Raw genomic sequence first — 24,630 nt, 5'->3', positions numbered from 1 at the left:
TCAAAAAATTTTTCATTCTTCTATTGAACAAGTAGTTTACTTAAGGCCTACATTTTACCCCCCTATTCAATACAACATACCAAAGGTGGCAGACAGGAAACACGTTCCCTGCCATTAAAAATTGAGAATCTACTTGAATAATGTGAGTGAATTCTCTGGTGCCTGCCACAATGGGGTGATGCTCTATTCCAGTGGAACAAATCCACGAGATCGTAGAAAGACATGATTATTACAGGCAAATTTAACTACTAAAAAATTACTTTCCAAATATTCTCTTGCACTCTTATGGCTTACGACTTTACATTTCTCCCGCAGAATCACTGACCCACATCATGGCTCAATCTATTTCATCTGACCAGAGCCTGTGTAAGTAATCTGTGACTCACCTGAAGCACTGTATTGTTTGCTATATTACAGGACCTTTTCACTAGATGTGAAATGAAATCATGGAACCCAAATACCTCCTACATACTTCCTGGCTCTGATGCTCTGTAACAGTGACCCCTCTGGGACAATGATTTTATATCAGAGTACGCCCAAAGTTAAACTCAGGTAGGAGACAAGAGAGAGCGACCACAGGCACAGGTGTGAGGCAGAGGGCAGAAAACTGAGTGTGGACAAGCCAGACCTTGCGTGCAGTCCAGTTGCACCATGTTTGTGGTCTTCTACACCTAGCCAAAGCCAATAAACCCCCAGAAGTAAAAGGAAATCTTGATGACCATCAATTTCTTTCCATCAGCATTTTTTCTTTCTACTCCTCTTCTTTACATCTTCCATTCTTCTACTTTGTTTCTTCTTTTTTTCTAACTTCATCATCATTTTAGACCTGAACGTGGTACCATGGTCTTTTCAGCATTCAAGCTTTTCATGATCTATTGAGAATTAGGGAAAGTATTCTTCCTTTAAAATTCCTTTCCTGCCTCCTTCTCCACTTCCTTTTCCTATCTTATTAAGAGTAGCTACCATAATGGGAATGGGGAACTTATATGCTGCAGCTTTATGTACTGTGTTTTATTCTTATCATCTCATTCAATCTTAGAACACCTCAGCTGGTAGGATTATAAGACACTAGCCAGTAATAATGTGAAAATATATTAACACTCAAGAAAAAAACGAAAAAAACAAGCAAAGATTTTTCATTTATTTATTTTTTTGAGACGGAGTCTTGCTCTGTCACCCAGGCTGGAGTGCAGTGGCACGATCTCTGCTCACTGCAACCTCTGCCTCCCAGGTTCAGGTGATTCTCTGGCTTTAGCCTCCCAAGTAGGTAGGATTACAGGTGCGCTCTACCACACCCAGCTAATTTTTGTATTTTAAGTAGAGATGGGGTTTCACCATGTTGGCCAGGATGGTTTCCAACTCCTGACCTTAAGTGATCTGCCCACCTCGGCCTCCCAAAGTGCTGGGATTACAAGACTGAGTCACCACGCCTAGCCAAGCAAAAATATTCTGATGACTAATCTCGTAAATAGTTTCTGATGCAGCAGGCGTAGTCATTCAACTTTACTTTTCTTTTCTTTTCTTTTTTTTTTTTTTTGAGACAGAGTCTTTGTCCCCCAGGCTGGAGTGCAGTGGCACAATCTCAGCTCACTGCAACCTCTGCCTCCCGGGCTCAAGCAATTCTCCTGCCTCAGCCTCCCAAGTAGCTGGGATTACAGGCATGCACCACCACGCCCAGCTAATTTTTGTATCTTTAATAGAGATGGGGTTTCACCATGTTGGCTAGGCTGGTCCCAAACTCCTGACCTCAAGTAATCCGCCCACCTCGGCCTCCCAAAGTGCTGAGATTACAAGCATGTGCCACCGCGCCTGGCCAAGCAAAGCTATTTTGATGACTAATCTCTTAAATAGTTTCTGATGCAGCAGGCATATTCATTCAACTTTAACTTGCCTCATTTCACCTACAGGATTGACTTTCATCTGTGAATGAAGATGACTTCCACTGAATCTTTAAAAAAATCATATTATAAACACTGATTGTTGTAGCTCTGTTAAGCTTAAACTTCCTACATTTCTCCTTACAAGTTTAATAATGTATTTTTTAAAGGTGTGGGTAAATACAGGCTCCATAATAATATCTACAAATGAACCTTTAGCATATCCATTCTTCAAATGCCTACAGCCCTTGGATGCTAACAGCCTCAGATAGAATCTGAGTCCCGCCTATGTTTGCCAAACAATCCTGGCTTATAGGGTAATTGAGAAATCTCCGGAACTATTTTCATTATTCCCTCAGACTAGATCTGTCCTCATGTAAGTATTAAGGCTATAAACAGTTTAATTTTATTTTTTTCTTATTAGCTTAATCAAATGTGCCATGTGAAAATTATTCTTGTGGGATGAACAGATATTTGATAAAGCACATATAGTAATTTTTAATTGTAGATCTTGGTGATGGGCATATGAATATTCACTGTATAGTTCTTTCAACTTTTTAAATTTGAACGTTTTTAAAGTAAAATGTTTAAAATCTCCTTTGTAAAATATTTATCATATATTCTACAGATATTTATTAACTCCTGCTGTATACCAGGCACTGGTATATGATGGGAAAGGAGCTTACAGTTTAAGGCAACAATCCTGCAGAACTGGCTTATGTTGAACTTGGAACCCAAAGCTGAGGAACAAATATTCTTTGTCTTTTTTTTTTTGAGACGGAGCTTTGCTCTTGTTGCCCAGACTGGAGTACAATGGCGTGATCTTGGCTCACTGCAATCTCTGCCTCCCGAGTTCAAGTGATTCTCCTGCCTCAGCCTCCCAAGTAGCTGGGATTACAGGCATGAACCACCACGCCCAGCTAATTTTGTATTTTTAGTAGAGACAGAGTTTCTCCATGTTGGTCATGCTGGTCTCAAACTCCCAACCTCAGGTGATCCTCCCACCTCAGCCTCCCAAAGTGCTGGGATTACAGGCGTAAGCCACCATGCCTTGCCCATATATTCTTTTAGTTGAAACAGGAAAACCCCTCTGAGCCTACCCAGCCTACAGGGGTGAGGGTCCCCAGTTATGTGCCTGTTGATAGTGAGCCAATCGAAGACTTTGAACAAATGATTGAAAAGCCAATCAGAAAGCTCCATTACCCACTCCCATATCCTCCACATCACTTCCAAAAGTCCTACCCGAAGAGGGCATACCACCCAATAGAACACTGACCAACCAAATATTGGCCTAAGGCTTCCTCATTTTATTCTGCAAAACCCACTGTCCTTTCAAATCTCTTTGAGTCTCTACCAGTTTCCTTCCTTGCAATTGCAGCTCACTCCTTTGCTACAGTAAGCTCTGAATAAGTAGCCATTGATGAACTCAACAGGCATCTTCATCCTTTTGATATTCCTCAACTATAGTCATCTACATGTTTAATTGAAATCAGTTGTGACAACTCTTCAAAAACAAATACGGTGCCTACATTTCTTTTCTCTATAATTCCATACTCCTTTGTACTGCAGTCTGCTTCTAACAGGGAAGGGGATCAAGTTACAGGTAGCTTGCCTAGAATGGCATATAACCCACTGTGCCTCCTTGTTCGAGAAGGTCATCTATACTGTGATTTTCCAGGCGAAAAATGTTGAGGACCACTGAGTATTCAACTTGACGCATCTATGGGTTGGTGCCTATATTTTGAACAAAATAGAATCAATTGCTCTGCGATAAACTGAGTTTCTCCTGGAATCTAGTTAGTGAGATCAACAGATGAAACTAGAGAGCTGGATTTTACACCACTTGTCTCTTAACAAGGACAGCAAATACATGAATTGTGCTTAATATATGCCACTGATACTTAACAGAAATAACTCACATATTCACAACAGCCCCAGGCAAAGCAGGCAACATTATCCTCATTTTACAGATAAGAAAACAGAGGCACAAAAGTGAACTTCCCCCAAGGTCACAAAGGCAAGTGACAGAACCAGGTTACAAACTCAGACAGTCAGCTTCCAAAATCTATGCTCTTATCCAATATGCTACACTTCCTCTACTTAGGGTTTTATATTATTTAAGGCATTTATTTCTATGAATGTCAGGGGAAAAAACATTAGCATAAAAAAATTACCAACTACTCTCTCCTCAATGGGACTATTCTGTAGCTTAAAAAAAATAAGATACCCTACATAAGCAATGACAAGGTAACCATTTATGAATGCCTGACTGGTAGCCTGGCTGTGGGGCTTCATCTTTTATTAATATGGAAGGGGAACACTGCTTTCCTTTGTATGGCCTTATAAAGATTTACTTAAAAAGAAAACTGCTTCATATACTAATATCGGAATAAGATTTGGTAAAGTTCAATCATAACTCTTGGGACACAGACTTCTCCACATGATTGGCACAGAAGGAAAAGTGCCAATTCTGCTTTTTTGCTAATGTATTTGGTCAATTCCTGAGATAGTCATTGTGCTCTGTTTCACGAGGAGCAAAGTTTTTATGCTTTATAGCAGATCAAAGACTCTGCCCTTTTCCTCTAACTTTCCTGCTCAGCCAATTATTTTCCACTTTCTGTCATTTAGTGGTAAGCACACGCTGAGCAAGAACTTCCATATAGAAGCAGGCCTAGCTGCACTAAATATACTGGATGTACTGGCTTCTCTACCTACATCTTAAGGGGTAGAAAAGTTAACCACCTGTGTTCATATGGCTAGTTGTCATAATAAATGTAAAGAGAATGTCCCTCCCCATTTCTATTCTGGAAAATGGCAATTTATTTTATACCTAGCTCAACATCATTAAAACAGAGGCAATCATTTTATTAGGAACCTTGAAATAGTTGTCTTAAGCCCTTATCAGCACATGTGATAGGCCTGGACAGCTTACGGAATTAGGGCAACTAAGGAAAACTGAAGGTGTCTAACTGCTACTTAAAATACATGTTAATGTTTCTCATAATGCAGGTCTGAGGATAAATAAGTTTTCTCACCTTTTGTTTAACTATTTTACCCTCTTTTGGAAAGTTATTTTTAATGGAAATAGAATTCTGGGTTGACTTTTTCTCTTTAAGCTCATTAAAGATAGTCCGTTGTCAGCTGGGCACGGTGGCTCACGCCTGTAACCCCAGGACTTTGGGAGGCTGAGGTGGGAGGATCACCTGAAGTCAGGAGTTTGAGACCAGCCTGGCCAACATGGCAAAACCCTGTCTCTACTAAAAATACAAAAATTAGCCAGGCCTGGTGGCGCCCACCTGTAATTCCAGCTACTCGGGAGGCCGAGGCTGGAGAAGCTCTTAAACTGGGGAGGTGGAGGTTGCAGTGAGCCGATGTTGTGCCATTGCATTCCAGCCTGGACGACAAGAGTGAGACTCCATCACAAAAAAAAAAAAAAAAAAAAAAAAAAGTCCATTGTCTTTTGGACTCTATTGTTTCTGATGAGAAGTTAGCTGTCATTGTATTGTTGTTCCTCTGGAAATTATGTGTCATCCTCTCATTCCCAGAAGCTTATAAGGTTTTTCTCTTTAAATAGTCTGATTATGATGTCCCTAGGTATAGTTCTCTGCATTTATCCTGCTTGGGGTTTGTTGGCTGTCTGGGATTTGTAAATTATTATTTCACCAATTTTAGGTAATTTTTTATCTTTTTTCAAATATTTTATCCTTTTCTTGCTCTCCTCTTCCTGTAGGACTCCTATTTGAGTTTTGTTAGACTGTTTGATAACTTCCTAAGTATTACTGAGGCTCCTAATTTTTTCCAACCATTTCTTCTGTAGGTCTTCAGAATATAATTTCTATTGATCTACCTTCAAGTTGACCAACTCTGACAGTTTCAGTCTCCAATTTGCTGTTAAACCTATGCAATCAAGTTTTAAATTTCAGATAGAGTATTTTTTGGTTGTAGAGTTTCCACTTGATTCTTTTTGGGAGTTTCCATTTCTCAGCTGAGATTTCCCATCTGGGCACACTTCTATTGTCTTCTTTTTTCCTACAGTCTGGCCTGGGGTCCCTTGTTCCAGCTTTTTAGCATTACTGATAATTTTTTACTAGATGCTGAACATTGTGGATGAAAAATTTTAGAAGCTCTGAACTATTATTACCTTCCTTCAAAGAGGGTTAAGTTTTCTTGTTGAAGGAAGGCTAGGTAACGGATTCCTTTGAAACTTGGTTGTAGGCATTGTTAAGTCTGGCCTATTTAAGTTTTCCTTACTCTTCTGGCACAGCCACCCTGAGGTCTTGATTTAAAGCTTAAGTGCTTACCAACCCCACTCTACTTGAACTCCAGCAACTGTCTCCCCAGCATTTCATAGCTGCTAATGTCTCTGTTTGGCTCTTCAGCCTCCCTGCTGTTGTTTTCTTCTAAGATTCTTTTTTTAGGCTTTTTTTCTTTCTAAGGTTCTTGAAGTTTTACTCTTTGCATGAATATTTTAAGGGTCCAACAATGGCCAGGCGCGGTGGCTCACGCCTATAATCCCAGCACTTTGGGAGGCTGAGGCGGGCAGATTGAGGTCAGGAGATTGAGACCATCCTGGCTAACACGGTGAAACCCCGTCTCTACTAAAAATACCAAATATTAGTCGGGCGTGGTGTTGGGCGCCTGTAGTCTCAGCTACTCGGGAGGCTGAGGCAGGAGAATTGCTTGAACCCAGGAGGCGGAGGTTGCAGTGAGCCGAGATCTCGCCACTGCACTCCAGCCTGGGCGATGGGAGCAAGACTCTGTCTCAAAAAAAAAAAAAAAAAGAGTCCAACAATGGCTTGAGGGAAATTGTATGAAATTCCTTGTTTTTTGTTATTTTTTGTTGTTGTTGTTTGTTTGTGATTCCTCACTTTCTAAGGTTTTGTCCCTCAAGTTCAAGATACTTTGATAGCTCTACACACTGGCTGTTGTCCCTTTACTTGCTAAGACTGCCACTTTCAGCTTCAAGTCTTTTCATGCATGCTGCAGTTTGGAAAATGTGCTCGGGGAAAAACCAGGGTAATCGTGGAGCTTCCTCCCTGGGTTTTCTGTCTGGAGCACTGTAACCCATCAAGTCCCGCCTGCCTAAGTTGGCTGCTCCCCAGTGTTTTCTTTATGTTTCAGATGTAGTGTTTTAGGTGGGATGGTTAATCAGCTACAAGATGGCTTTTCACAGCCAGAAGTGGAAGTCATAATCTGACGTTTGATATGCCATGTTTATTTGTTTACATGTTTATTGTCTTTCCCTCTCTTCTCCTAGCACCCTCCATCAGAATGTCGACTCTGTGAGGACAGGCATTTTGTTCAATTAATATCTCCTCATAAAAGGCGCTCAATAAATATTTATTGTATTCAGTCATCAATCACTGAAATCCAGAACAAGGGGAAGTAAAACCTATTGATACCGAGAAATGACAGGTAAAATAAAATTCAGAGTGATCATATGGTAGTCACTTAACAAAATGTGAATTTTGTTATGCTTTGTATAACCTCATTGTAAGCAAGACAAAACTTGCCTCCAATAAAACCAAGTCTTCTGTGGGAAGCTGAGACTAGCCCTTGCTTTCTATAGTGAGGCTGACTCTGAGGCCCAAGATCTGATCTTGAAAGGAAAATCCATCTTCAACAGCTCAGGCTGTTACAACAAAATACCATGGACTGGGCACCTTACATAACAGGAATTTATTTCTTATAGTTCTGAACACTGGAAGTCCAAGATCAAGGTGCCAGCAGGGTCAGTGTCTGGTGAAGTCTCTCTCCTTGGGTTGCAGATGACTGTCTTCTCGCCATGTTTTCACATGGCCTTTCCTTAGTGTATACAGGTAGAGAGAGAGAGAGAGAAAGCAAGTGAGAGAGAGAACACCCATGCACAAACATGAGTGCACTCTGGTGTCTTTTCTTATTACTATTATTATTATTTTTAAAGATAGGGTGTTGCACTAAAACCCAGGCTGGAACACAGTGACATGACCATAGCTCATTGCAGCCTTGACCTCCTGGGCTCAAGCAATCCTCTCACCTCAGCCTCCCAAGTAGCTGGGACTACAGGCACACACCACCATGCCCGGCTATTTTTTATTATTATTTTTAATAGAGACAGGGTCTCACTATGTTGCCCAGGCTGGTCTTGAACTCCTGGCCTCAAGTGATACTCCTGTCTTGGCCTGGGATCCCAAAGGGCTGGGATTACAAGTGTGAGCCACTGCACCTGGCCCGTGCTCTTCTTGTAAGGGCACTAATCCTATTGGGGGCCCTACCCTCATGACCTCATCAAACCCTAATTACCCCCGAAAGGCCCCAGCCCCAAATACCATCACATGGGTGTGTTAGCGCTTCAATATATGAATTTTAGAGGGACACAAACATTCAGTTCATAACAGTGAGGGTGGATCAGATCCCAGCTGGTGGTTGGGTGGGCCACCTCAGCTTTTTAACCTGAGGTCTCTTGTCCTATTTGTGTAGCCCCCGACTCCTCTCTTTTTTCCCATTCAGTTAGATATTTAGTTGTAGTATTTCTGCATGGTGTATATGATGTTTTAGTGGTTTAAAAACTGTGCACACTTTGGGAGGCCAAGGTGGGCGTATTACCTAAGGTCAGGAGTTCAAGACTAGCCTGGCCAACATGGTGAAACCCCATCTCTACTAAAAATATAAAAAATTAGTAGGGTGCATTGGCACGCGCCTGTAATCCCAGATACTCAGGAGGCTGAGGCAGGAGAATTGCTTGAACTCGGGAGGCAGAGGCTGCTGTGAGCTGAGATCACACCACCATGCTCCAGCCTGGGCAACAGAGCAAGACTCCATCTCAACAACAACAACAACAACAACAACAACAAAATGTGTACAAACCCAACCATAACCAAGAGAATTTTGGTTTTCCTTTATTATCTGAGCAGGCAGACTTACTCTGGAATGGAAAACATTCCTGCAGTTAATTTGTTTTTGCTCTGCTCTTGCCACCTTAAATCCAGAAGTCCTCCAAACCTAGCACAGCTTTTTTCTATCTCCAGAAATAGCATTTTTAATAATTCTGTGTTGCATTCATTCAGGTTGTTCCAGTATCTAACAAAATTTTCTTTCAAAAACAAGACTTTTGTAGTTGTTAAAGATTCAATTCCAACGTATTTCCTACAGCTGTCACATTCAAATAGGTTAAAGGTAAAAAATATATATAAGTTGCTGAAACGAATTCTACTGAAGTTTAAAATCTACAGCCTCTTTTTCTTCTTCTGGTACAGCAGTGCTTTTTCTTATGGGTTTCCAAATGAAGCCATTTTAATGAAAAAAAAATGCCAAGGCACAAAGCTGAAATGTACACCAATACTTTGCTTTGCTGTGACCTTGGAGCTCTCAATAAGTGTGTCTGCATATCCCTGAATAATTAACAAAATGGGTTTTTCATGGCTTTGATCACTTTCTAAGCTGGTCTCTTGATTTACCTAGGCAATGGCCTCTTTTTCATATGAGAATGCCTCTTCAGAAGGCAACAAGATTGTGAATCCAAACTTTGATCTATATCCTTTGATTATGGGAAAAATATGAATGTAATTTACTTATTAGAAACCATGTAATTTTTGAAGCCTCAGCTGGCAAGTACAGCCAAGGTGTGGTGTGTAGTTTATATTTATATATATGCCTTCAGGGTCCCACTCAAAGAGTTCTCACTTCCTAATCCTAACTACATATTTCCCTAGTAATGATAGTTGATGGCTGGTTTGTGATTGCTTTAAAAAGTGATTTAATTTTCATCAGTTTTTTTTTTCCTTACTCCTAAGGAAGTAGTTTTTCCCTGTTTAGAATTTAAAGACAATTGGTGGATTCCAGAAATTCAGCAAATGTCAACTAGAAAGGGAAATTTGAACTTGAGCTTTAGAACAATTTGAACTGAATATTTTTTTGTTTTGTGACTTATATACTGAAATACCTACACATTTATAGTGTTTCAAGTCATTTGTGACTTTTCAAGCTATCTACATTTGCCATGTAATGCGAAGATTAAGTGTGAAATCTGCATTTAACTTAATTAATATGTGTTATTAGCTCAAGGGCACGAAAGAGTTCATCTACAGACATCAAATATGTAATATTTATCAACTACTAAATTGTTATCCTTCATCACTAATTGATAGAGCCTTAAACTGTAACACTGTTGTTAAACTATTTGAGTTGAAAGGATTTCCCTCTCTATAGGAACTGGGTGGTAAGCCCTTAGCAGGGTGGGAATATATTTCTATTGTTCCCTCAGGAAGTTAAAATGCAAGACATATAAATGTTCATATGACTAAAATCTCTTAGGAAGCTCTGTGTAAAAGCAATAGATGTATTTTTTTCAATTTCATTTCCATATTAGCCTTAGGGTGAAAATTCAATTTTAATATCTTAATGTTTATTTCTATTCAGAACTTGTAGAAATGAATATGTCTGGACCCAGAGGTTAAGAATATAACTAAGGTAAATATAAATTTTAGTATGAAATTTTCGGTTGCATTTCTCACTACCTGACAGTTTAGGATTTTTAAAAAAATCTAAATAGATTATAAAATAAAGTTCTGGGGCAAATTCCCTAACAGCCCTGGTCTTTCCTGATACTGAATCAGAGATTATAACTTTATAGCACTCATTTTGGCAATTAATCATAGACTGCTTAACTGTTCACTGTATAACTGTCTTACCTTCCCAAAAAGATTATAAAAAACTTAAAGCGGAAGATGGCCGAATAGGAACAGCTCCAGTCTACAGCTCCCAGCGTGAGCGACGCAGAAGACGGGTGATTTCTGCATTTCCAACTGAGATACCAGGTTCATCTCACTGGGGCCTGTAGGACAGTGGGTGCAGGACAGTGGGTGCAGCCCACCGAGCATGAGCCGAAGCAGGGCGAGGCATCGCCTCACCCCGGAAGCACAAGGGGTCAGGGAATTCTCTTTTCTAGCCAAGGGAAGCTGGGACAGATGGCACCTGGAAAATTGGGCCACTCCCATCCTAATACTGTGCTTTTCCAATGATACTAGCAAATGGCACATCAGGAGATTATACCCTGTGCCTGGCTTGGAGGGTGCCACGCCCACGGAGCCTCTTTCATTGCTAGCACAACAGTCTGAGTTCTAACTGCAAGGCAGCAGCAAGGCTGGGGGAGGGGCGCCTGCCATTGCTGAGGCTTAAGAAGGTAAACAAAGTGGCCAGGAAGCTCAAACTGGGTGGAGCCCATCTCAGCTCAAGGAGGCCTGCCTGCCTCTGTAGACTCCACCTCTGGGGGCAGGGCATAGCTGAACAAAAGGCAGCAGAAACTTCTGCAGACTTAAATGTCCCTGTCTGACAGCTTTGAAGAGAGTAGTGGTTCTCCCAGCATGGAGTTTGAGATCTGAGAACAGACAGACTGCCTCTTCAAGTGGGTCCCTGACCCCCGAGTAGCCTAATTTGGAGGCACCCCCCAGTAGGGGCAGACTGACACCTCACATGGGCAGATACCCCTCTGAGATGAAGCTTCCAGAGGAATGATCAGGCAGCAACATTTGCTGTTCAGCAATATTTGCTGTTCCGCAGCCTCTGCTGTTGATACCCAGGCAAACAGGGTCTGGAGTGGACCTCCAGCAAACTCCAACAGACCTGCAGCTGAAGGTCCTGACTGTTAGAAGGAAAACTAACAAACAGAAAGGATATCCACACCAAAACGCCATCTGTACGTCACCATCATCAAAGATCAAAGGTAGATAAAACCACAAAGATGGGGAAAAACAGAGCAGAAAAGCTAGAAATTCTAAAAATCAGAGCGCCTCTCCCCCTCCAAAGGAACACAGCTCCTCACCAGCAATGGAACAAAGCTGGACGGAGAATAACTTTGACAAGTTGAGAGAAGAAGGCTTCAGATGATCAAACTTCTTCGAGCTAAAGGAGGAAGTTTGAACCCATCACAAAGAAGCTAAAAACCTTGAAAAAAGATTAGACAAATGGCTAACTAGAATAACCAGTGTAGAGAAGTCCTTAAATGGCCTAATGGAGCTGAAAACCATGGCACGAGAACTACGTGACAAATGCACAAGCTTCAGTAGCCGATTTGATCAAGTGGAAGAAAGGGTATCAGTGATTGAAGATCAAATGAATGAAACGAAGCGAGAAGAGACGTTTAGAGAAAAAAGAGTAAAAAGAAATGAACAAAGCCTCCAAGAAATATGGGACTATGAAAAGACCAAACCTACATCTGATTGGTGTACCTGAAAGTGACGGGGAGAATGGAACCAAGTTGGAAAACACTCTGCAGGATATTATCCAGGAGAACTTCCCCAACCTAGCAAGGCAGACCAACATTCAAATTCAGGAAATAGAGAATGCCACAAAGATACTCCTCGAGAAGAGCAACCCCAAGACACATAATTGTCAGATTCACCAAAGTTGAAATAAAGGAAAAAATGTTAAAGGCAGCCAGAGAGAAAGGTCGGGTTACACACAAAGGGAAGCCCATCAGACTAACAGCAGATCTCTCGGCACAAACTCTACAAGCCAGAAGAGAGTGGGGGCCAATATTCAACATTCTTAAAGAAAAGAATTTTCAACCCAGAATTTCTGATCCAGGCAAACTAAGCTTCATAAGTGAAGGAGAAATAAAATCCTTTACAGACAAGCAAATGCTGAGAGATTTTGTCACCCCCAAGCTCTTGTAGGCCTACCCTACAAGAGCTCCTGAAGGAAGCACTAAACATGGAAAGGATCACCGGTACCAACCACTGCAAAAACATGCCAAATTGTAAAGATAATCAATGCTAGGAAGAAACCGCATCAACTAACGAGCAAAATAACCAGCTAACATCATAATGACAGGATCAAATTCACACATAACAATATTAACCTTAAATGTAAATGGGCTAAATGCTCCAATTAAAAGACACAGACTGGCAAACTGGATAGAGTCAAGACCCATCAGTGTGCTGTGTTCAGGAGACCCATCTCACATGCACAGACACACACAGGCTCAAAATAAACGGATGGAGGAAGATCTACCAAGTAAATGGAAAACAAAAAAAGGCAGGGGTTGCAATCCTAGTCTCTGATAAAACAGACTTTAAACCAACAAAGGTCAAAAGAGACAAAGAAGGTCATTACATAATGGTAAAGGGATCAATTCAACAAGAAGAGCTAACTATCCTAAATATACATGCTCCCAATACAGGAGCACCCAGATTCATAAAGCAAGTCCTTAGAGACCTACAAAGAGACTTAGACTCCCACACAATAATAATGGGAGACTTTAACACCCCACTGTCAACATCAGACAGATGAACAAGACAGAAAGTTAACAAGGATATCCAGGAATTGAACTCAGCTCTGCACCAAGCAGACCTAATAGGCATATACAGAACTCTCCACCCCAAATCAACAGAATATACATTCTTCTCACACCACATCACACTTATTCCAAAACTGACCACATAGTTGGAAGTAAAGCACTCCTCAGCAAATGTAAAAAACAGAAATTATAACAAACTGTCTCTCAGACCACAGTGCAATCAAACTAGAACTCAGGATTAAGAAACTCACTCAAAACCGCTCAACTACATGGAAACTGAACAACCTGCTCCTGAATGACTACTGGGTACATAATGAAATGAAGGCAGAAGTAAAGATGTTCTTTGAAACCAATGAGAACAAAGACACAACATACCAGTATCTCTGGGACACATTTAAAGCAGTGTGTAGAGGGAAATGTATAGCCCTAAATGCCCACAAGAGAAAGCAGGAAAGACCTAAAATTGACACCCTAACATCACAATTAAAAGAACTAGAGAAGCAAGAGCAAACACATTCAAAAGCTAGCAGAAGGCAAGAAATAACTAAGGTCAGAGCAGAACTGAAGGAGATAGAGACACAAAAAAAACCCTTCAAAAAATCAATGAATCCAGGAGGTGGTTTTTTGAAAAGATCAACAAAATTGATAGACCACTAGCGAGACTAATAAAGAAGAAAAGAGAGAAGAATCAAATAGATGCAATAAAAAATGATAAAGGGGATATCACCACCAATCCCACAGAAATATAAACTACCATCAGAGAATACTATAAACACCTCTATGCAAATAAACTAGAAAATCTAGAAGAAATGGATAAATTCCTGGACACATACACCCTCCCAAGACTAAACCAGGAAGAAGCTGAATCCCTGAATAGACCAATAACAGGCTCTGAAATTGTGGCAATAATTAATAGCCTACCAACCAAAAAAAGTCCAGGACCAGACAGATTCACAGCCGAATTCTACCAGAGGTACAGGGAGGAGCTGGTACAATTCTTTCTGAAATTACTCCAATCAACAGAAAAAAAGGGAATCCTCCCTAACTCATTTTATGAGGCCAGCATCATCCTGATACCAAAGCCGGGCAGAGATACAACAAAAAAAGAGAATCTTAGACCAATATCCCTGATGAACATCGATGCAAAAATCCTCAATAAAATACTGGCAAACCAAATCCAGCAGCACATCAAAAAGCTTATCCACCATGATCAAGTGGGCTTCATCCCTGGGATGCAAGGCTGGTTCAACATGCGAAAATCAATAAACGTAATCCAGCATATAAATAGAACCAAAGACAAAAACCACATGATTATCTCAATAGATGCAGAAAAGGCCTTTGACAAAATTCAACAGTCCTTCATGCTAAAAACTCTCAATAAATTAGGTATTGATGGGACGTATCTCACAATAATAAGAGCTATTTATGACAAACCCACAGCCAATATCATACTGAATGGGTAAAAACTAGAAGCATTCCCTTTGAAAACTGGCACAAGACAGGGATACCCTCTCTCACCACTCCTATTCAACATAGTGTTGGAAGTTCTGGCCAGGGCAATCGGGCAGGAGAAAGAAATAAAGGGTATTCAATTAGGAAAAGAGGAAGTCAAATTGTCCCTGTTTGCAGATGACATGATTGTATATTTAGAAAACCCCATCATCTCAGCCCAAAATCTCCTTAAGCTGATAAGCCACTTCAGCAAAGTCTCAGGATACAAAATCAATGTGCAAAAATCACATGCATTCTTATACACCAGTAACAGACAGAGAGCCAAATTATGAGTGAACTCCCATTCACAATTGCTTCAAAGAGAATAAAATACCTAGGAATCCAACTTACAAGGGATGTGAAGGACCTTTTCAAGGAGAACTACAAACCACTGCTCAACAAAATAAAAGAGGACACAAACAAATGGAAGAACATTCCATGCTCATGGATAGGAAGAATTAATATCATGAAAATGGCCATACTGCCCAAGGTAATTTATAGATTCAGTGCCATCCCCATCAAGCTACCAGTGATTTTCTTCACAGAACTGGAAAATAAACTACTTTAAAGTTCATATGGAACAAAAAAAGAGCCCACATTGCCAAGACAATCCTAAGCAAAAATATAGAAGCTGGAGGCATCATGCTACCTGACTTCAAACTATACTACAAGGCTACAGTAACCAAAACAGCATGGTACTGGTACCAAAACAGAGATATAGACCAATGGAACAGAACAGAGCCCTCAGAAATAATACCACACATCTACAACCATCTGATCTTTGAGAAACCTGACAAAAACAAGAAATGGGGAAAGGATTCCCTATTTAATAAATGGTGCCGAGAAAACTGGCTAGCCATATGCAGAAAGCTGAAACTGGATCCCTTCCTTACACCTTATACAAAAATTAATTCAAGATGGATTAAAGACTTAAATGTTAGACCTAAAACCATAAAAACCCTAGAAGAAAACCTAGGCAATATCATTCAGGACATAGGCATGGGCAAGGACTTCATGTCTAAAACACCAAAAGCAATGGCAACAAAAGCCAATATTGATAAATGGGATCTAATTAAACTAAAGAGCTTCTGCACAGCAAAAGAAACTACCATCAGAGTGAACAGGCAACCTACAGAATGGGAGAAAATTTTTGTAATCTACTCATCTGACAAAGAGCTAATATCCAGAATCTACAAAGAACTCAAACAAATTTACAAGAAAAAAACAAACAACCCCATCAAAAAGTGGGCAAAGGATATGAACAGACACTTCTCAAAAGAAGACATTTATGCAGCCAACAGACACATGAAAAAATGCTCATCATCACTGGCCATCAGAGAAATGCAAATCAAAACCACAATGAGATACCATCTCACACCAGTTAGAATGGCCATCATTAAAAAGTCAGGAAACAGCAGGTGCTGGAGAGGATGTGGAGAAATAGGAACACTTTTACACTGTTGGTGGGACTGTAAACTAGTTCAGCCATTGTGGAAGACAGTGTGGTGATTCCTCAAGGATCTAGAACTAAAAATACCATTTGACCCAGCCATCCCATTACTGGGTATATACCCAAAGGATTATAAATCATGCTGCTATAAAGACACATGCACACGTATGTTTATTGCAGCACTATTCACAATAGCAAAGACTTGGAACCAACCCAAATGTCCATCAACGATAGACTGGATTAAGAAAATGTGGCACATATACACCATGGAATACTATGCAGCCATAAAAAAGGATGAGATCATGTCCTTTGTAGGCACATGGATGAAGCTGGCAACCATCATTCTCAGCAAACTATCGCAAGGACAAAAAACCAAACACTGCATGTTCTCACTCATAGGTGGGAATTGAACAATGAGAACACTTGGACACAGGAAGGGGAACATCACACACTGGGGCCTGTTGTGGGGTGGGGGCAGGGGGAGGGATAGCATTAAGAGATATACCTAATGTAAATGACGAGTTAATGGGTGCAGCACATCAACATGGCACATATATACATATGTAACAAACCTGCACGTTGTGCACATGTACCCCAGGACTTAAAGTATAACAATAATAAAAAAAGAAAACATACACACACACACAAATAAGTGGTAGCCAACATTAAAAAAAAAATAAAAAACTTAGCGTAAGGTTATAACACTGCCATAATACCTAGTCTCTAGGACTTAATTACTTCCTTTAAAATGTTTCTAAAATTAATCATAATTTTTAGTATGACGTTAGCAGGCACATATGCCAAAATTGCTCACAACAAAGATACAGGTGATTAGAAAATTATTGAAGTCTTTCTTTTCCTTAACTTGAATTCTTAAAAATGATGTCTTTTGGCTGGGTGCGGTGGCTCATGCCTGTAATCCCAGCACTTTGGGAAGCCGAGGCAGATGGATCACCTGAGGTCAGGAGTTCAAGACCAGCCTGACCAACATGGTGAAACCCCATCTCTACTAAAAATACAAAAAGTAGCCAGGTGTGGTAGCACGTGCCTGTAATCCCAGCTACTCGGGAGGCTGAGGCAGGAGAATTGCTTGAACCCGGGAGGCAGAGGTTGCAGTGAGCTGAGATTGTGCCATTGCACTCCAGCCTGGGGGACAAAAGCAAAACTCTGTCTCAAAACAAAAAAAAGATGTCTTTTTAAAAATCTAAAATGCATATATATCTTAAATTCATATCTTTCAAAGGGAACCATGCAAGTTTCTAATATATATATACATGTATATATGTATATGTATACATATATGTATACATATATACATGTATATATGTATATGTATACATATATGTATACATATATACATGTATATATGTATATGTATACGTATATGTATACATATATACATGTATATATGTATATGTATATGTATATATGTATATGTATATACACACACACACATATATATACACACACACACATATATATGTGTGTGTGTGTATATATATATATATATTTTTTTGAGATAAGGTCTCGCTCTGTCTCCCAGGCTGGAATGCAATGGTGTGATCCCAGCTCACTGTAGCCTCAACCTCCCAGGCTCAAGCAATCCTCCCATCTCAGCCTCCCAAGTAGTACCACCAAACCTGGCTAATTTATATATTTTTTAATGGAGTTGGGGTCTGGCCATGTTGCCCACGCTGGTCTCGAACTCCTGGGCTCAAGTGAACCTTCTGCCTCGGCCTCCCAAAGTACTGGGCTTATAGGCATGAGCTACTGCACCTGGCCTCTAATATAAATTTTAAAACGAACAATAATAAAGGACAATTGTCATCACTCATGGCCATATCTGAGTATTCTGGATTCTATAATCTAGAGAAATTTAGGTTACTGAACATCAAAATCACAAAGAGGCCACCTAACCACTTTTACTGGTGTTCTATAGGGTGGGAAAAGGATGTGATACAGAAGAAAAAAATAGCTAAAGCTTTTTGTCTCTGGTTTTGGGAGATAAGTAAAGAAGAAAGGGAGTCTGGTATTTATGTCTCTCTACCTCTTGGTTCCCACATTTCCAGGAAGATTTGATGTTTTAGAACAGCAGTATGCAAACTGGGGTAAGTACATGAAAGTCTAGAGGTTAAATACATGTAAAGTTCTCTTAAGTAAGCAGGTATGGATAGTTTAAAAGAATTAGTTCTCAGATCCTCAAGTACCATGTCTATTCTCTTCTGAAAGTGATCTTCCTGAGAATGTTCTTGGGGAGACATCATTCTGGTTAACTCTCTCTTCACAAGTATCCTTCTCTGTCACTCCATTGCTATGACATGCCATGTAGGCCACTGGCCACACCATACCCCCACAAATCTCAGCTTTGTTCTGGAGACAGATTTCCAACCCAGAATACTACACACAGCCTAACCAGTAAACAAATAGACATACAAATGAGTGGAATAAAGAGATTTTAAAGCATTCAAACTAAAAAAGAAAAAATAATCATGCACTTTTTCTCAGGGACCTATTGGAGGATGTGCTCCAACAAAAAGAGGGAGTAAACCCAGAGACAGGTGATCCCCAACATAGGAGAAATATGAAGGGAATCCTGGGAGTGATAATAAGATAACTCACTAAGTATCACCGGGAGTGATACAAAGAGTAACTTAAGGATATCTTAAGGTTAGTAGCTATAGTAGACTAGAGAGAAATCCATCCAAGTTCAAAGGAAAAAGCATGAGGACAAGTAGGGATGTTTCAAGAAGAAAGAAAAATGGATAGATTATCTGTTGTGTTTCAATGTACTGAGAAATAATTTCCAATTCTGATGAAAACTTCAAAGATGACCAATACATAGAAAATTAAGTGAATGAAAAACATGTGACAAATAATGAGACTGCAGTTGTACAAGAAAAGTTATACAGGAAAAAATAATCATAGCACAATATATGTTTTAGTTATAAAAATATTTACTGGCTTATAATAATTTGAATACCTCCAAGAATTGGGATATAACACTTTTGGGAGAATGAGAGAAGAAACAATATGTATGTGTGTGAGTGTGTGGTTATATAAAAGAATTAAAGCATTACATTTATGAAAGTTAGTCAACAGTTAATGCCCTAATGCTAAGGTCTAACCTAAACAAGAAAATCCAGAAATAGTAGTTTACACTGGTAATAGAGCAAGAAGATTTTAGAAATCAGATAGGGAGCTTTGAGTGTGATAGGCAGAATAATGGCCCCCAAACATATCCACATCTTAATCCCCAGAAACTGTGAGTATATTGCCTTTTCTGACAAAAGGAACTTTGCAGGTGTGATTAAGTTAAGGATCTTGAGATGGGGAGATTATCCTGGATTTATCTAAATGCAGACAATCTAATCACCTGAATCTTTCACAGCAGGTTATCTTTTCTGGCTGAAGTCAGGAAGAGGGAGAAAGATGCAAAGTCTGACAAGAGTTGGACCTGCCATTGCTGGCTTTGAAGATGAAGGAGAGGCCCTGAGCCAAAGAATGTGGATGGCCTTTGGAACTTAGGAATGGGGAAATGAGGATCTCAGTTCTACAACCTCCAAGAACTAAATTCTGCCAGCAACCTAAATGAGCAAGTAAACAGATTCTCTACAAGAGTCTCTAGGAAGGAACTCAGTGCTTTGAACATGTACATTTTAGCTCAATGAGACCTATGCTGCACTTACCATCTCCACCCTGTCAGATGATACATCTGGGTTATTTGAAGTCACTAAGTGTGTGACATTTGCCACAGCAGCCAACAGAAATCTGTTGAGGTACAGTGAAGAAGAGATATTTTAAATTTTGTGGTACTTTTTACATGAATACATTTGTTTTAAATATGTAACAGTTTTAAAACTTCAGTAAAGTAAGAATTTATGGATATTTTCTTGATGCGATTAAAAATATTTAATTAAAACCATCAGCCTCCTTCTGGCTTCTCTTCCATCAGGTACATTTACACATGAATTCTGGTGGCTTATGTAGTCCATGAAATGGGAGAAAGGACCCTGATTCCCAGTTCATTTTGATGTTCCCCTAAGCTTATACTGACATAGCTGTTGTGGTTTAAAGTTGTGGTTGCAAAGTTTTTGACATTCCTACTACTAAGGGGGTTATGAGCCCTTCCCTTTTATCTGGGCTGGCTTGTGACTGAGTTGACCAGTAAATAGTACCTGTGACCGTAGAGGACTTCTGTTGTAGGTTATAAAAGACCATGGTGCTCTGTCTCATTCACTCTTGGAGTCCTGAGCCACCATCTACAATGTCTGGCTGCACTGAGATCATCATGCTGCACAAGCCACATGTAGGTGCTCTGCTCAACCAACCCTCCTAAGTGGATTCTTCAGCCATCTTTGACCAGACACATGCACAAAGCCTTCCTGTGTAGGAAACTATCTTAGAACCCTCCAGCCCAGCCCACCTGTCAGCTGAATAACACTGAATGATCTTTGCCAACCCTTCTTAGAACAGAAGAACCACCCAGCTGATCCCTATCCAAATTCCAGACCCACAAAATCAGGAGATGTAATAAATTGTTGTAAGTCAACAATTTAAAGTTTTGGGACAGTTTGCTATGTAACAATAGATGCCTACAATATAATTTTATTAGAGGACAGGTTCTGATCATGGCTTTCACACCCTTAACATCAAATCTGGCCTTGGGGATCTTGGCTGAGCTCCAAAAGCCATGGTATTTGGTTCTCTATTGGAGGACAGGAGCCAGTCCCCAACCAAGGTCCTGTACCTGAAGACACTCCCAACTCTTGGTCTCATAAAATCCAACTATCTCCCCAGGAAGGGCCACTTTCTTTTTGCACCCCCAGAACAAAACTTGTTTCCCCTAATGTGCCTCATAAAACAATATTAGCTTTCCTCTAGGTCAGGGATATCCAGAACTCAAGGACTTCGAGACCAGCTATCTTGCTTAACAAAGAAAAAGGGGAAATTTCTCGTGGTTCCATGGTAGGAAAAATGCTACCACCAATAATCAACCAACTTCTCACCCCTGTAAAACAACATGCCTTATTCAGTGGTGGAGGGTTGAGGCAAAGAGGGGGTGTTTAAATGTTACCGTTAAAAAAATAATTATTGGTTACTTATTGTAGTGTAGCCAGAGAATGTGGGTTTCATATTTTGTAATTTTTAGAATCTGCTGAGATATTCTTTTTCTTTGAGACAGAGTTTCTCTCGTTGCCCGGGCTGGAGTGCAATGGTGCGATCTCGGCTCACTGCAACCTCTGCCTCCCAGGTTCAAGTGATTCTCCTGCCTCAGCCTCCTGAGTAGCTGGGATTACACGCACCTGCCACCACGCCCGGCTAATTTTTTTGTATTTTTAGTAGAGATGGAGTTTCTCCATGTTGAACAGGCTGGTCTCAAACTCCCGACTTCAGGTGATCCGCCCACCTCAGCCTCCCAAAATGCTAGGATTACAGGCATGAGCCACCGCACCCGGCCTGAGATATTCTTAAAGTCCTAAGATATGATCAGTTCTTTACGTCTTCCAAATGTTTATATTAAATATATATATGAATATGTTTTAAAATACCTGTTAATTACATTATTCAATTCTTGTAATAATAAACACTTGCATAGTATTCACTCTGGGCCAGGTGCCGTTTCAGAAATTTTAGATAAATTAACTCTTAAGTGAGAGCCCTCTGAGGCTGGAGCTGTTACTACTACCGCAATAAACTTAATCAGTAAAGTTAAGGCAGTGAGAAGCTAAATGGCACTGCTAGTAAGTGGCAAGGCAAGGGTTTACACTCAGGCAGTGTTATTTATATTCTAAAGGCCATGTGGCTTATGTAGACTTTATTTCAAGCCACTTACGTTATTTTGAAAGAGTTATAGCATGCCATATTAACAAACAAAAAGTTTTATTTGCTGACAACCCTAGCTAACTCTCAATGCTTAACATATTTATGATATTTCTCTCCTCTGCTACTTCTAGTTACTCCATTTTTGCTTACTTTGTAGAAGTTGTTTGACAATATTGCTGACATTTAAGTATTCTTGTATATTTCTTTATATTGGTGATTTCCTTATTTCGTTTTTTCTCCTTTGCTGCCTTTTTATTCTAAAGGTTTAAGAGTCAAAAAATGACTAGATTGCCTTAATTACAATGGTTTGAATGAGTTAGTTTGGTTTTCTTTTTAAATCTGTGTTCTCTTTATATCCTAGCCTAGTTTCTGGGAGGTGCAAGGCACTGAGTGACTCATTGGGACCTGCTGAGTCATTAGAGAGAGTGCCTGAGGGACAGAGGCCAGACTGCAACTTAAGCTATCTGGAATCTTACCTCTGCTGTCTTACTGGCTGTCTACATGGGGCTACATTTTAACTATGGCTTACAGGTAATCATTTAATGTCATGTCCTTTCTATCTTTCCCCCTCTAAAGTGGTAGTAATCATCCTTTATCTCTCCATCTCTCCACCAGGATATTGCAAAGATTAATTATTATTAAAAACAAAATGAAATTATCAATCCCTTCAGGAATATGTTTGCTGTATTAATATAAGAAACTATTTTCATGGTTTCCTTGATTTTTATAGCTGTGCTTATTGTGCCCCTTCTCAATGAAGGAGATATTCCAAATTTCTCCCAGACAGAAACTGATTTAAAATCGATTCAGTGGCTGAAGAACCCTGTAATTGTCCCAGCGGGTTCTTACTCTGCCAGGTAAATATTTCCAAGAACTAACATGCTAAGTTTGAGACTGGTTATTCATAATATAACTGTTAAGAGTTGTATTGTCTTTGAGTTTCTTTGGGGTTACCTTTCTTGAATCCCTATGATTTTGTGCATCCCACTCATCTGTGTCAGTGTATGTTCTTCAAGACTGAGGGATACGAGACCTGGCAGGAACAACCTACTTGCTAAGGAAGGACATTCAATGTGTACTTAATAAGATGTTCAGAGGTAGATTTTCCCAGACTGGTCATGGGTCCCATGCTCTTTCTTTCCTTCCACTCCAAATCTGCAGCATGTTTAGTTTTTGTCTTTAAGTTTCATGATTCATGGCCACCCAATCATTGCCACACTTCTAGACAGCAAGTCTTTACCTGACCCTGTACACGTCAGGAGTGGAGAGACTGCAAAGATGGCAAGAGAAAACTCTTCTCCCAGGCCTGTCTCCTTTCATCCAGGAATGAAAATCTCTCTCAGTCTTACATCTATTGAATCTCATGGGCTTTCTGGCTCTGCAAGGGTGGCTGGAAAAAATGAGTATCTTGCTTTTTCAGCATCTATATTGAGAGGCAGGCAAGGAAAAGGTGGATGAAGACCAATTAACCGAAGTGTCTGTTACAACTAACAAATTCTTTTTCTCTTTTCCTCTCTTCTACTCCACAGAAATCATTGCCTGTCAACAGCCTCCACCCCCACCTCCCCACCCCCACTCTTGGGAATGGACTCTGACAAACTCACCATCAGGAAAGTTGATGTTTCCCATCTAGGATGGAAGAATGGGATTCTGAACTTTGTCACTGTTTCTGAAACGTCATCAGCTCCTGTAATTGCATGGTTGGGACAGATCTATTTAAATTGCTTTGAAGTTTTCCCAGGAAATTCCCACAAAATTGTGCAACCCAAGGAATTGAGGTGGAAAAAATGGCACTGGCATCAATTTGCTTCTCACCACGACCTTGTGAAGGAGGCAGGTAGCCACTCATATTTATGATTTAAAAAATGAGGGATCAACAATTAAAGGGGTAACAGTTCTAGGTGCTTGGACTATTAGTTTTATCAAAAACACAGTCGGTATAGGTTCATTGACAGCTGGCATTCATCATCTGAAATTAGATCCCCCTTTGAAATTATTCTTTCTCTCATTTTCCTTGCTTTTACATAGAAGTTTTTTCTTTTTTTTTTCTGTAAATAGTTAGATAATGGCATGGGATGACACTGCAAATAGGCAATATACCATACAATCAATTCCATGTATTAATTCCAGAACAGTTTCCTCATTAATGGAAATACAGGATGCATTCTGGTATCATTATTGTTGACATTTCTCTTTGCTTTTATTATATTCAATAAAATATTGTATTCAACAGCTTACCTCAGAGAGAAGTTTGATGAGATTTGATTGTCCTTTAGTTTTATCTTTATCACCAAGACAGGACCCAAAACCTGTCTTCCTCCTAGTGTGGCAGGGCTGTTGCAATGAAGCACACAGACAACAAACACATCTTTCTAAAGCTCTCCTTCATCTGAAAGTAAAGATGACAACTTGATATGAATAAAACCCATAGAATTTTGGAAAATTTTGATGTTTCTCAATCTGCACTCTCTGATTGGGATTGATTTAACTGAGAGTAACAGAAACGTTGACGCTGCTTAAACAAATAAGAGGTTTATTTATCTTGCAAACACTATGAAGGTATTCATTTCAGGGCCCAGTGCAGCTGCTCCAGGGCCAGCTCATTTGACCTTTCAGCTTTTCTGTCCTGCATGTGTAACTGCTGAGCATCGGAGAGTTACATTAGCAAGCCAGGAGAAGAAGAAGAAAGATGAAGAAGGGAGGATAAGTGGCTA

General features: G+C 40.0%; 2 long non-coding RNA genes across 2 annotated transcripts, besides 4 other annotated features; one reads left to right on the top strand and one right to left on the bottom strand.

Annotated features, from left to right (window-relative positions):
• Positions 1,139-2,338: an enhancer, noted in NCBI's record as "P300/CBP strongly-dependent group 1 enhancer chr18:68024559-68025758 (GRCh37/hg19 assembly coordinates)". NCBI's record gives its function as "activates an origin of replication core promoter dependent on BRD2, BRD4, P300/CBP, MED14 and CDK7 cofactors, with strong dependence on P300/CBP, by STARR-seq in HCT116 cells {active_cell/tissue: HCT116}" and the evidence as "EXISTENCE:reporter gene assay evidence [ECO:0000049][PMID:35650434]".
• Positions 7,202-24,222, bottom strand: LINC01909 (long intergenic non-protein coding RNA 1909). The gene is made up of 4 exons (NR_126336.1): positions 24,155-24,222; positions 23,521-23,603; positions 23,157-23,339; positions 7,202-7,682 (listed from the first exon to the last, which is right to left on the bottom strand). It is a non-coding gene; the product is annotated as a long intergenic non-protein coding RNA 1909 (long non-coding RNA).
• Positions 10,833-11,425: an enhancer, noted in NCBI's record as "H3K27ac-H3K4me1 hESC enhancer chr18:68015472-68016064 (GRCh37/hg19 assembly coordinates)". NCBI's record gives its function as "activates a minimal SCP1, AML or CMV promoter by ChIP-STARR-seq in primed H9 embryonic stem cells {active_cell/tissue: H9 hESC(primed)}" and the evidence as "EXISTENCE:reporter gene assay evidence [ECO:0000049][PMID:30033119]".
• Positions 21,481-24,153, top strand: LIVAR (liver cell viability associated lncRNA). Its single transcript, NR_146458.1, has 2 exons — positions 21,481-22,447; positions 23,446-24,153. It is a non-coding gene; the product is annotated as a liver cell viability associated lncRNA (long non-coding RNA).
• Positions 21,617-22,816: an enhancer, noted in NCBI's record as "MED14-independent group 3 enhancer chr18:68004081-68005280 (GRCh37/hg19 assembly coordinates)". NCBI's record gives its function as "activates an origin of replication core promoter dependent on BRD2, BRD4, P300/CBP and CDK7 cofactors, and independent of MED14, by STARR-seq in HCT116 cells {active_cell/tissue: HCT116}" and the evidence as "EXISTENCE:reporter gene assay evidence [ECO:0000049][PMID:35650434]".
• Positions 22,234-22,528: an enhancer, noted in NCBI's record as "tiled region #10196; K562 Activating DNase unmatched - State 9:DNaseU, and HepG2 Activating DNase matched - State 5:Enh". NCBI's record gives its function as "activates a minimal TATA promoter and a strong SV40 promoter by Sharpr-MPRA in K562 cells, with weak activation in HepG2 cells {active_cell/tissue: HepG2 | K562}" and the evidence as "EXISTENCE:reporter gene assay evidence [ECO:0000049][PMID:27701403]".
• Positions 24,223-24,630: the final 408 nt, after the last annotated feature.

This window comes from Homo sapiens, chromosome 18 (assembly GCF_000001405.40).
Source record: "Homo sapiens chromosome 18, GRCh38.p14 Primary Assembly".
NCBI classification, from domain to species: domain Eukaryota; kingdom Metazoa; phylum Chordata; class Mammalia; order Primates; family Hominidae; genus Homo; species Homo sapiens.
Note: the sequence above shows the minus strand (reverse complement) of the source record. Positions and strands in the feature narration are given on the sequence as shown.